Raw genomic sequence first — 12,739 nt, forward strand, 5'->3', positions numbered from 1 at the left:
CCCGACCTCAGATGATAGCCCGCCTCAGCCTCCCAAAGTGCTGGGATTACAGGCTTGAGCCACCGTGTGCGGCCAGAACTAGGATGACATCTAATCATGGAAGTTTATATTTCAGTGCTAAAGGAATTTAGAAGAAATAAATTTATTTATTTATTTAGATGATTTGCCTTTATGATACTGTTTGCTATTATTAAACTTTAATGACTTTAATGTGACCAAACATTAAATTCTTTAATAATGTGTGGCTTTAAATTCTTCCTGTAGTGCCATTTATGGCTCTGTCAAAAACATTTACTGTTTTACTCTTTTTATCTCTTATAGCCATTCTTTTTGTTGTTACAGCTGTCACTTAGTTCAGAAGTTTGTCAACTTATACATAGATTTCTTCAGTAGTACAGTAGAATACTGTTCTGATCCCATCAGTAATATACCGAAAATGTTCAGTAGCACTTCATGCGTGGGGATAAAAATACAAGATATGTTCTATTTGCCAACACTTTACTTCAGCCAAAATGGTGTCTATTCACTGATAACTCTCCATCCCATACACACACTATACCTTCTAATTTCTGCACTTTACTGCCATATCTTGAAGGAGTGGGTTGCCCCTCCACACCTGTGGGTGTTTCTCATTAGGTGGAACAAGAGACTTGGAAAAGACAGAGACACAGAGACAAAGTATAGAGAAAGAAAAAAGGGGGCCCAGGGGACCAGCGTTCAGCATGCGGAGGATCCACGCCGGCACCGGCCTCTGAGTTCCCTTAGTATTTATTGATCATTATTGGGTGTGGCAGGATAATAGGATAATAGTGCAGAGAAGGTCAGAAGGTAAACACGTGAACAAATGTCTCTGCATCATAAACAAGGTAAAGAAAAAAGTGCTGTGCTGTTGATGTGCATATACATAAACATCGCAATGCCTTAAGGAGCAGTATTGCTGCCAGCATGTCCCATCTTCAGCCCTAAGGCGGTTTTCCCCTGTCTCAGTAGATGGAGTATACAATCGGGCTTTACACCAAGACATTCCATTGCTCAGGGACAAGCAGGAGACAGAAGCCTTCCTCTTATCTCAACTGCAAAGAGGCGTTCCTTCCTCTTTTACTAATCTTCCTCAGCACAGACCCTTTATGGGTGTCGGGCTGCCGGACGGTCAGGTCTTTCCCTTCCCACGAGGCCATATTTCAGACTATCACATGGGGAGAAACTTTGGACAATACCTGGCTTTCCTAGGCAGAGGTCCCTGCAGCCTTCCGCAGTGTTTTGTGTCTCTGGGTACTTGAGATTAGGGAGTGGTGATGACTCTTAACTAGCATGCTGCCTTCAAGCATTTGTTTAACAAAGCACACCCTGCACAGCCCTTAATCCATTTAACCCTTAGTTGACACAGCACACGTTTCAGGGAGCACAGGGTTGGGGGTAGGGTTACAGATTAACAGCATCTCAAGGCAGAAGAATTTTTCTTAATACAGAACAAAATGGGAGTCTCCTATGTCTACTTTCTGCACAGACACAGTAACAATCTGATCTCTCTCTCTTTTCCCCACAATATCTCACTCCTTAATCCCTGTTTGGAAAGGTCTTCTCATTCCTTTTTGCCTGTCCCAATTTTACCCATCCTTTAAGAAGCTTTTAAATACTAACTCTTTAGTAAAGCTACTTCTACTCTCCTCAAACCAGTGGTTCTCAACCCAAATTGTATGCTAAAACTGTATGGGAGGCTTTTTTAAAACTGCCAATCCTCAGAACCTACCACCAACTCCATTAAATGAGAATCTCCGGAGGTGGGATCTGAGCATCATTAATTTTGAGTGCTTTTCAGGTTATTTTAATGTGCAGCTAAGGCAGAGTACAATTCTCTAACCATCATCTAGCTGTTATTGGCTACATCATCTTTTTTTAGCCCTTATTGGTTAATACCTAATTACCAGTTTTCTTTCCATGTAAATATGTCATTTTTTTCTAAATGAAAGTGGCTTATTAAAGTCGTGAATTACATCTTCATATTTTCTTCAACACTTTAGTCAATGAATTACACAAAGTAGTATAAAATAATGACTTGTTTGCTTATGTAAGAATACCCTTAAAGCCGTTGCTCTCCCATTCCTATCTTAGTTATAGCAACAGCTCATTTGTATAACTTCAACATTTTAGCTAGATGTATGTCAGATGTGGGCCCAGAGTCATCCATACTCCTCAGAAATCTAAGGCCAAAGGACATAAGGATCAGATTTATTGATACATGGTGAATACTGCTAAATCATTTTATTTCTTACTTAACCTGACCTCTCAAGTCTAGGATTTATTCATTTATTTAACAAATATTTATTGAGCATGTATCATGTCTGGGTGCTCACTAGTAGTAGGAATACAGCCATGAGCAAGGAAGCTATGGTTTTTGCCTATTAAGGACCTCGTAGTTTGACAAGGGGCAGATATTAAATAATTACACAAATAATTATTAATTTATTTCTATTGAGATACAGTTTGTTAAGGATACATATCACAAGCTGTGAGTGTTTTTATCAGGATTTATAAGTTAGTTGCTTTTATTGGGACTTATAACTTAGGGATTGTCAGGAAAGATTTATTTAAGAAGGTCACATTTAAAATGATACCTGAGGCTGGGTGCGGTGTCTCACGCCTGTAATCCCAGCACTTTAGGAGGCCGAGGCGGGTGAATCACTTGAGGTCAGGAGTTTGAGACCAGCCTGGCCAACATGGTGAAACCCCGTCTTTACTAAAAATACAAAAATTAGCTGGGCATGGTGGTGGGTGCCTGTAATTCCAGCTACTTGGGAGGCTGAGGCAGGAGAATCGCCAGAACCTGGGAGGTGGAGGTTGCAGTGAACTGAGAATGTGCCATTGCACTCCAGCCTAAGCGACAAGAGCGAAACTCTGTCTCAGTAATTAATTAATTCATTAAATAAAAATAAAATGATACCTAAAAAGTGAATCTTCTAGTTTAATCAGTTGGCCAAAAAAGAGTTAACTTAGCAGATAGAACATGTATGCAAAGGCCCTGAGGAAGGAAACAGCTTGACTCCTGAGGAATTAAAAGAAAGTCAGTGTCCCTGAAACATAGCAAGTAAAAGGAATGAAGAAAGGCCAAATAGATAGCCAGGCACTAGATCTTGTAAAGTCTTGGGTTTTTTGTTTTGTTTTGTTTTGTTTTGTTTTTGAGATGGGGTCTTGCTGTCACCCAGGCTGGAGTGCAATGGCACAATCTCGGCTCGCTGCAAGCTCCGCCTCCCGGGTTCATGCCATTCTCCTGCCTCAGCCTCCAGAGTAGCTGGGACTACAGGCGCCCGCCACCACACCCAGCTAATTTTTTTGTATTTTTAGTAGAGACAGGGTTTCGCTGTGTTAGCCAGGATGGTCTCAATCTCCTGATCTCGTGATCTGCCTGCCTCGGCCTCCCAAAGTGCTGGGATTACAGGCGTGAGCGACCGCACCCGGCCTATTGCATCTCAAAATTAACTATAATTCTTTTTTTTTTTTTTTGAGACAGGGTGGGGTCTCACTCCATCACCCAGGATGGAGTGCAGTGGCTACTATCATTCTCAGTATCTAATAATCTAGTCCATATTCAAATTTGCCACTTGTCCCCAGAATAGTTCTATGGATGGTTTGTTCAAACCAGGATCTAATCAAAGACCATGCATTGCATTTGATAGAGTAACTCCATTTTGATATGATCCAAATCTTGTGTTCTTCAGGGATCCTATGGGCATTTGGATGATTATTTATGCCCCATTACAATTCTTGGTTCTATTTCCTATATTCCTATTGTACCAGCTTTCCAATCCTGAGTCTTTAGATAAGACACTGCTTTACTTCTGACAGAGTACCCAGTGAGTGCTTTTTTTATTTTTTATTTTTTTCCCTGAAACAGGGTCTTGCTCTGTCACCCAGGCTTGAGTGCGCTGCTGCAATCTCAGATCACTGCAACCTCTGCCTCCTGGGTTCAAGCGATCCTCATGGCTCAGCCTCCCAAGCAACTGGGACTACAGGTGTACACGATCACACCTGGCCAATTTAAAATTTTTTTTTTAGAGACAGGATATCCCTGTGTTGCCCAAATTGGTCTTGAGCTCCTGGGCTCAAGCAGTCTGCCCAACTCAACCTCCCAGAGTGTTGGGATTACAGGTGTGAACCACTACACCCAGACATGAGTGCATTCTTTATAAGGGTCAAAAGCACGTCTTCTTCACTGACCCAGTGACAGATTACCTGATTTACAACAGAATCTATAACACTTTGGCTGTTGGTGTAGAATAGAACCCCTAAAGGAATACTTTTAAAATACTAAATGAATGCTAAATAAAATTTAGGGAAGGGGTTCTTCCAGCATGGTGTCCATTTGCTTAATAAGGGAATAAGGCAGAGAGAGGATTGTGCCTTTGTTCTATTAAGGCTGTTCATCATTAAGATTATTATTCTCTCCTACTAATTCCTGAGTTGTTTGTAGCACTTTATAAACTTGAGCCCCAGAGAATGTGTGATTTAATAAGGACACAAATAATAATTTTTAAAAATAGAGGCTGGGCATGGTGGCTCATGTGTGTAATCCTAGCACTTTGGGAGGCCAAGGCTGGACAGTCGCTTGAGGCCCAGAGTTCAAAGCCAGCCTGGACAACATAGGAAGACCCCATCTCAACAAATAATTTTGAAAGTTAGCCAGTGTGGTGGTACGCACCTATAGTCCCAGTTACTAGGGTGGCTGAGGTGGGAGGATCACTTGAGCCCTGAGCCCAGGAGGGTGAGGCTACAGTGAGCCATGATGGCACCAAAAAAAAAAAAAAAGGAAACCTTTTTTAAACAAACTATGGCTATTTTTAAATCTACATTACATCTTCCATATCTTCCTACTGCCTTCTAGCATTTCACTTTTGAGAAACCCTGATTTTGAGGGACATCTTATGCATTCATATTTAATGACCAGCCAGGCTTACACATGTAATTGCAGTACTTTGAGAGGCAGAGGTGGGAAGATCACTTGAGCCCAGTAGTTAGAGACCAGCATGGACAATGAAGTAAGACCTTGTCTGTACAAAAAACTTTAAAAAAATTAGCCAGGCATGGTGGTGTGTGCCCATAGTCCCAGCTCTTTGGGAGGCTGAGATGGGAGGATAATTTGAGTCCAGGAGATCGAAGCTACAGTTAACTGTGATCATGCCACTGCACTCCAACCTGGATGACAGAGTAAGACCTTCTTTCAAAAAAAAAAAAAAAAAAAAAAGGAAAAATTATATTTAATCGTCACAGTGTTTTCCATCTTTCTACTCCTGTGAACTCTTTCTCTTTGGAACATCTATCGCATAAATACATTTCATCCCACAGAATTCAAGATATACTTTCAGGCCAGGTGTGGTGTGGTGGTTCACGCCTGTAATCCCAGCACTTTAGGAGGCCAAGGCAGGTGGATCACTTAAGGTCAGGAGTTCGAGACCAGCCTGGCCAACATGGTGAAACCCCATCTCTACTAAAAATACAAAAACTAGCTGGGCATGGTGGTGTGTGCCCGTAATGCCAGCTACTCAGAAGGCTGAGACAGGAGAATCGCTTGAATCCAGGAGGCGGAGGTTGTAGTGAGCCAAGATCATGCCACTGCACTCCAGCCTGGGTGACAGAGCGAGACTCCATCTCAAAAAAAACAAAAAAGATATACTTTCAGCAAACAAAATTTAACATCTAGATAGAATACTTTTCCACTTCAGTGGTGTTTACAACTAGGGGCTTATAATAATAAATTGCCAGTCTGTAATAAACAGGCAATCAGACATAAATATCTATACTTCTATTATTTTGTTAGTGGGGCTACTTTTTAGGGATTTTTTTTTTTTTTTTTTTTTTGAGATGGAGTCTCACTCTGTTGCCCAGACTGGAGTGCGGTGGCACAATCTCAGCTCACCACAACCTCCACCTCTCAGGTTCAAGCGATTGTCCTGCCTCAGCCTCCCAAGTAGTTGGGATTACAGGCGGGTACCACCACTCCTGGCTTATTTTTTTTAGTAGAGATTGGTTGCACCATGTTGTCCAGACTGGTCTCAAATCCCTGACATCAAGTGATCTGCCCACCTTGACCTCCCAAAGAACTGAGATTACAGGTGTGAGCCACTGAGCCCGGCCTAATTTTTATTACGACTTTTCAGAGGATCTTTATGCTTCTAAGTATTCATGATTATATTATATCATTATCATCTCAAGACCTAGGCCAACAGGGGAAAGTCCATGATGGCAGGACAAAAATGATTACCTAGGAAGGGTCACCTCCAGTTTCTTTACTGGTTGTACCAATTTCTATAGGAATTTACTAAACCCTATATATGAAAAGTTTTTTTAAATATTTATTTATTTATTTAATTTTTTTTTGAGTGTGCGTTAAAATCTTTTGTCATCCAGAGTCTTTTGGAATTCTAGAGATGTTTGAGCTGTGGGCTTTGACAAGAGGGGAAGGGAGGTATATATGCTTTCTAGTTATTAATGGTATTGTTTACATCTCTATTCTAACTCCCATCTCTAGATATTGTATAGAAGCAGGAGCAAATTCTCTGTTAAGTTAGACTGTTTTTTTGTTTGTTTGTTTGTTTGTTTTTTTGAGATGAAGTCTCATTCTGTTGTCCAGGCTGGAGTGCAGTGGCACAATCTTGGCTCACTGCAACCTCCACCTCCCCGGTTCAAGTGATTCTCCTGCCTCAGCCCCCGGAGTAGCTGGGATTACAGGTGCCTGCCACCACATCCAGCTAATTTTTGTATTTTTCGTAGGAATGTGGTTTCACCATGTTGGCCAGGCTGGTCTCAAACTGTTGACCTCAGATGATCCACCCACCTTGGCCTCCCAAAGTGCTGAGATTACAGGTTTGAGCCATTGCACCCAGCCTAGGGTTAGGCTTTTTGGTGATCCTCTATACACCAAAGTGGTGTTTAAAGGACCACTAGGTGGTGTTTCAGTACAGCAAACCATTGAAAAGTATATAGCTGTTTCTAAAACCTGCACCTGGACAAAGTATTCTCTGTTTATTAACTTCATGATTTCATCTTTATCTATTTATTTATTTTTACCACAGCTGATTTTATCTTTTTTTTTTTTTTTCTTTTTGGGACAGAGTCTCACTCTGTCACCCAGGCTGGAGTGCAGTGGAGCAATCTCAGCTCACTGCAACCTCCACCTCCCAGGTTCAAGCAATTCTCGTGCCTCAGCCTCCCAGGTAGCTGGGATTATGGGTGTGTGCCACCACGCTCAGCTAATTTTTTGTATTTTTAGTAGAGACGGGGTTTTGTCATATTGCCCAGCCTAGTCTCGAACTCCTGACCTCAGGCAGTCTGCCCGCCTCTGCCTCCCAAAGTGCTAGGATTACAGGCGTGAGCCACGCGTTTGGCCTCGATTTTATCTTTACATACTTTTTTAAGCCTTCTGCCATCATGAGGTCACAATGGATGTGTAATCAAACTGATCCATTTTTTGTGAATAATATCTACCACACTTCCGAACGAATATAGTACAAACAATGATTTTTATTGCACAGGACATTTTCCCTGACCACAGATATTAATTGACTTCCTGTTGTTGGAAAGTCCTCTTATCATTCCTAGTTTTGTGGTTTACTGTTGCTAAATTCTGGAAAAATACCTCTGTGTTTCTTTCATTATTAGCAAACTAAAATCCATCTCTGTTAGTTATTACTTGTAATAACATCCTCCATGAACCCTTCATTAAACTTTTTATTCCTCATCTATCTATTGGCAACAAATAGGAATAGCCCTAATTTCTGCTATCATTTATATCACTTCTTTCCTTGTACATCCACCTGGTCTTCTACAATTAAACTGGGCGGATCCTCTTTGTGAAATACACATTGACCTCACTATTTATTTACTTATTATTATTATTATTATTATTATTATTATTATTATTATTATTTTGAGATGGAGTCTTTCTCTGTCACCCAGGCTGGAGTGCAGTGGTGTGATCTCGGCTCAGTGCAAGCTCCGCCTCCCAGGTTCATGCCATTCTCCTGCCTCAGCCTCCCGAGTAGCTGGGACTACAGGCCCCCGCCACCATGCCCAGCTAATTTTTTTTTTTTTTTTTTGTATTTTTAGTAGAGATGGGTTTTCACCGTGTTAGCCAGGATGGTCTCGATCTCCTGACCTCGTGATCTGCCTGACTCGGCCTCCCAAAGTGCTGGAATTACAGGTGTAAGCCACTGCGCCTGGCCAATTTTTTTTTTTTTTTAATTTTTTTTGGTGTGTGAGACACTTTCATTCTGTCACCCAGGCTAGAGTGCAGTGGCATGATCTTGGCTCACTGCAACCTCTGCCTCCCGGGTTCAAGAGATTCTCATGCCTCAGACTCCTGAGTAGCTGGGATTATAGGCGCGCACCACCATGTCCAGCTAATTTTTTGTATTTTTAGTAGAGACAGAGTTTCACCATGTTGACCAGGCTGGTGTTGAACTCCTGACCTCAAGTGATCCACCCACCTCAGCCTCCCAAAGTGCTGGGATTACAGGCATGAGCCACTGCACTGAGCCAACTTCATGATTTTCTTATAAATAATTTCAATTTTGGGGGCCAGATACAGTGGCTTACGGCTATAATCCCAACACTTTGGAAGGTTTATGATTCTATGAAGATAATACGCTTTTCCTTTCTTTTCTTTTTTTTTTTTTTTGAGACAGAGTTTCACTCTTGTTGCCCTTCCTGGAGTGCAATGGTGTGATCTTGGCTCATTGCAACCTCTGCCTCCCAGGTTCAAGCAATTTTCCTGCCTTAGCCCCCCAAGTAGCTGGGATTACAGGTGCATACCACCATGCTTGGCTAATTTTGTACTTTTAGTAGAGACACAGTTTCACCATGTTCGTCAGGCTGGTCTCGAACTCCTGACCTCAGGTGATCCACCTGCCTCGGCCTCCCAGAGTGCTGGGATTACAGGCGTGAGCCACCGCGCCCGGCTGATCTGTGCTTTTCAACAGCATAACTAGATTGATTTCTGTGAGCAGAGTGAGGAGACCATAAGAGAGCAAATGCTTTCCTGTGGGTCACTATAGATAGTGAGATGACTATTTATCCATGCAGGAAATTTGAAAGTGTAAAGATGGGTTGTAAATAAACCATTTCTGTCCTAGAAACAGACTCATTTAAGTCAGTTTTGCTTCTCATATTATACATATGATCATGACTGTTGGATTCCTATCCTTACCTAATTCTATATCCTAGATCTAGTTGTTGCATTTCATTTTTATGGCCCTCCTTCACCACCCTCTGATAACTTCTGCTTGCTCTTAACTAAGATTACATAGCCCCTGTCTAGATCACATAGCTTCTAGATCTTTGGTTCATATAATGATATCTGCATAGCTCTTTTCCTATTATGACTTCTTGATTGTCCTTTTACCATAGCAACCTTTATATTCATGTCATAACTGTTTCCCCTATCTCTTGGTTTTAAATTACTGACATCTCTGAAGTATATTCAGTCCCAACGTTTTTGAGGTTGGTTGTTTTGTTGTTGTTATTTCTTTTTTACCATAAACTCAGTCAGATGGTATGAGGTTGGTTCTGTTTGCTTTTTTACTCTATGTTTAGGGATTAGAAGTGAAAAGTAGTTTAGAAGGAGGTACAGTTCTGGATAAATACTAAAACCATGTTAAAGAAATAAATTTGTTTATTCTATTTCCTCTTTGACTAAGGCCATAGTGGAAATTTTTTTCACAGAATGCTACATTTAAGTAACAATCCATTAAGTTTAGCTATTTTTAAAGCTGGTTGATATATCAAAAATTGTCACTTTTTAAATTAAAAGGGGAGGGGGCAGAATTTGGAAACTGGAATAAGGAAAGTGATGATTCCATAGTACAAGCAGAGAGATTCATCTTTTTCTCTTAAATAGGAGATAGAAGCAGATAGACACAGAAATTGAGATCGATTTAGATGATACTCATGAATATAATATCTTCTGTTTATGAAGCAGTTAGAGGCTTTGTACTATATTAAGCATTTTATATGGATTATCTCATTTAATCTTCACAACTCCTCTGTGAGGAGTGGATATTATTATTCTCACTTAATGGCTGAGGGAACATGTAAAGACCCTAAGTAACTTGCCCAAGACCATTTAGCTTATCAGCATTTCCAGTGTGACTTTCAAGTCCACTTTCAACTTGACTTTCAAGTCAACAACTATGCTTCACTGCCTCTCTGGGTGGATAAGAAAGTGCTTTTTTGGATAAGACTACATTTGTTAAGTAGGAGTAGTAATTTCATTTTTGATACTTAAAATACTTTAGAAACTCTCTTAGAAATGTATAAATTTTCAAATTATAAAGTACCTTAGAAACTTCAAAATTTCTAAGAAGAAAAAACTAAAGTCTAGAGATGTTAAGTAATTTGTGTTTAGGTGTGTTGGTGTTTTGTTTTGAGACAGAGTCTCGCTCTGTCGCCCAAGCTGGAGTACAGTGGCACAATCTTGGCTCACTGGATCCTCTATCTCTTGGGTTCAAGCGATTCTTCTGCCTCAGCCTCCTGAGTAGCTGAGACTACAGGCATGTACCACTACACCTGGCTAACTTTTTGTATTTTTAGTAGAGACGGGGTTTCACCATATTGGCCAGGCAGGTCTGAAACTCCTGACCTCAAGTGATATGTCCACCTCAGCCTCCCAAAGTGCTAGGATTACAGGCGTGAGCCACCACACCCGACCTAGAGATGTTAAGTAATTTGAATCCGAGCTAGTTAACCAAAAATATTTAGCCAGTGCTTTCCTCCATATTGGATCACAAAAGAACACGGAATGAAAACCTATTCTGTCCAGAAATACCCTCGTAAATTAATTCTACATGGAGTAGTTACTTGTATTAACAACATACCTGACAGTGGAGTTCGAGACCAGCCTGACCAACACAGTGAAACCCCCTCGCTACTAAAAATACAAAAATTAGCCGGGCGTGGTGGTGGGCACCTGTAGTCCCAGCTACTCAGGAGGCTGAGGCAGGAGAATGGCGTGAACCTGGGAGGCGGAGTTTGCAGTGAGCCAAGTCACGCCACTGCACTCCAGCCTGGGCAACAGAGTGAGACTCTGTCTCAAAAAAAAAAAAAAAAAAAAAAATCCTGACAATATCATCACAATTTGTAAATTGATAAAGTAGAAGAAAACTTGTCAAATTTAATAATATTTTATAAATTTACAAATTGTGACAATATTGACATTTATATAATTTGAACTAATACACAATTAAGAATTTAATGCATTAAAACCTATTCTATATTATTATTTATGAAATTTTTCAGTATTTTAAAAACTGATGAAATTAGAAGGAAGATTTGAGTCTTAAGAAAGCATTGACTGCATAATCTAGCAAAAGTGCTGGAATATCAGTGCAAGAAATATTCTTGATAGTGATTTAACCATAGACTCTCAGGATCAGATGGGCCTAAACTAGTACTATAGTCATAGATATTTTGCTATTCTATGCTATACTTACATAAAGGAACTGTGGACTAATAATCTCCATTGTTGGCCGGGCACGGTGGCTCACGCCTGTAATCCCAGCACTTTGGGAGGCCGAGGCGGGTGGATCACAAGGTCAGGAGATTGAGACCATCCTGGCTAACACGGTGAAACCCCGTCTCTACTAAAAAATACAAAAAAAAAATTAGCCGGGCATGGTGGCGGGCGCCTGTAGTCCCAGCTACTTGGGAGGCTGAGGCGGGAGAATGGGGTGAACCCAGGAGGCGGAGGTTGCAGTGAGCCAAGATTGTGCCACTGCACTCCAGTACTCCAGCCTGGGCGACAGAGCGAGACTCCGTCTCAAAAAAAAAAAAAAAAAAAAAAATCTGCATTGTTGACAGTGAACCAGTTATAGTTTTTTTAAAAAAATAAACGTCAGGCCAGGCGCGGTGGCTCATACCTGTAATCCCAGCACTTTGGGAAGCTGAGGCGGTGGATCATCTGAGGTCAGGAGTTCGAGACCAGCCTGGCCAACATGGTGAAACTCCATCTCTACTAAAAATACAAAAATTAGCCAGGCGTGGTGGTGTGCTCCTATAGTTGCAGCTACTTGGGGCTGAGGCAGGACAGTCGCTTGAACCCAAGAGGCTGAGGCTGCAGTGAGCCAAGATCACACCACTGCACTCCAGCCTGGGCGACAGAGTGAGACTGAGACCCTGCCTAAAAAAAAAAAAAAAAAAAAAAAATGAAAGGACAACCCACAAAATGGGAGAAAACATTTGCAAACTACCTATGTGACAAGGGATTAATAACCAGAACATATAAGGAGCTCAAACAGCTCTCTAGAAAAAAAAAAATCTCATAATCAAATTTAAAACGGGAAAATGATTTCAGTAGACATTTCTCCAAAGAAGTCATGCAAATGAGGCCAGGTGTGGTGGCTCACACCTGTAATCCCAGCACTTTGGGAGGCCCAGGTGGGCAGATCACTTGAGGTCAGGAATTCGAGACCAGCCTGGCCAACATGGTAAAACCCCATCTCTACTAAAAATACAAAAATTAGCCAGGTGTGATGGTGGGTATCTGTAATCCCAGCTACTCAGGAGCCTGAGACAGGAGAATCACTTGGACCTGGTAGATGGAGGTTGCAGTGAGCCAAGGTCACACCACTGAACTCCAGCCTGGGCAACAGAATGAGACTCCATCTTAAAGAAAAAAGATAAACAAATGGCAGACAGGTATGTGAAAAGGTGCTGAACATCACTGGTCATCTGAGAAATGCAAATCAAAACT

At 41.3% G+C, this 12,739-nt stretch overlaps 1 protein-coding gene across 12 annotated transcripts in view, besides 1 other annotated feature; it reads left to right on the top strand.

Moving 5' to 3' along the window:
• Positions 1-12,739, top strand: part of MINDY2 (MINDY lysine 48 deubiquitinase 2) — a 90,599-nt gene that overhangs the window by 61,450 nt on the left and 16,410 nt on the right. The gene's annotated exons all lie outside the window — the stretch shown is intronic.
• Positions 809-1,576: an enhancer, noted in NCBI's record as "OCT4-NANOG-H3K27ac-H3K4me1 hESC enhancer chr15:59125759-59126526 (GRCh37/hg19 assembly coordinates)". NCBI's record gives its function as "activates a minimal SCP1, AML or CMV promoter by ChIP-STARR-seq in naive H9 embryonic stem cells {active_cell/tissue: H9 hESC(naive)}" and the evidence as "EXISTENCE:reporter gene assay evidence [ECO:0000049][PMID:30033119]".

The sequence above is a fragment of the Homo sapiens genome, chromosome 15 (assembly GCF_000001405.40).
Source record: "Homo sapiens chromosome 15, GRCh38.p14 Primary Assembly".
Taxonomy (NCBI): Eukaryota; Metazoa; Chordata; class Mammalia; order Primates; family Hominidae; genus Homo; species Homo sapiens.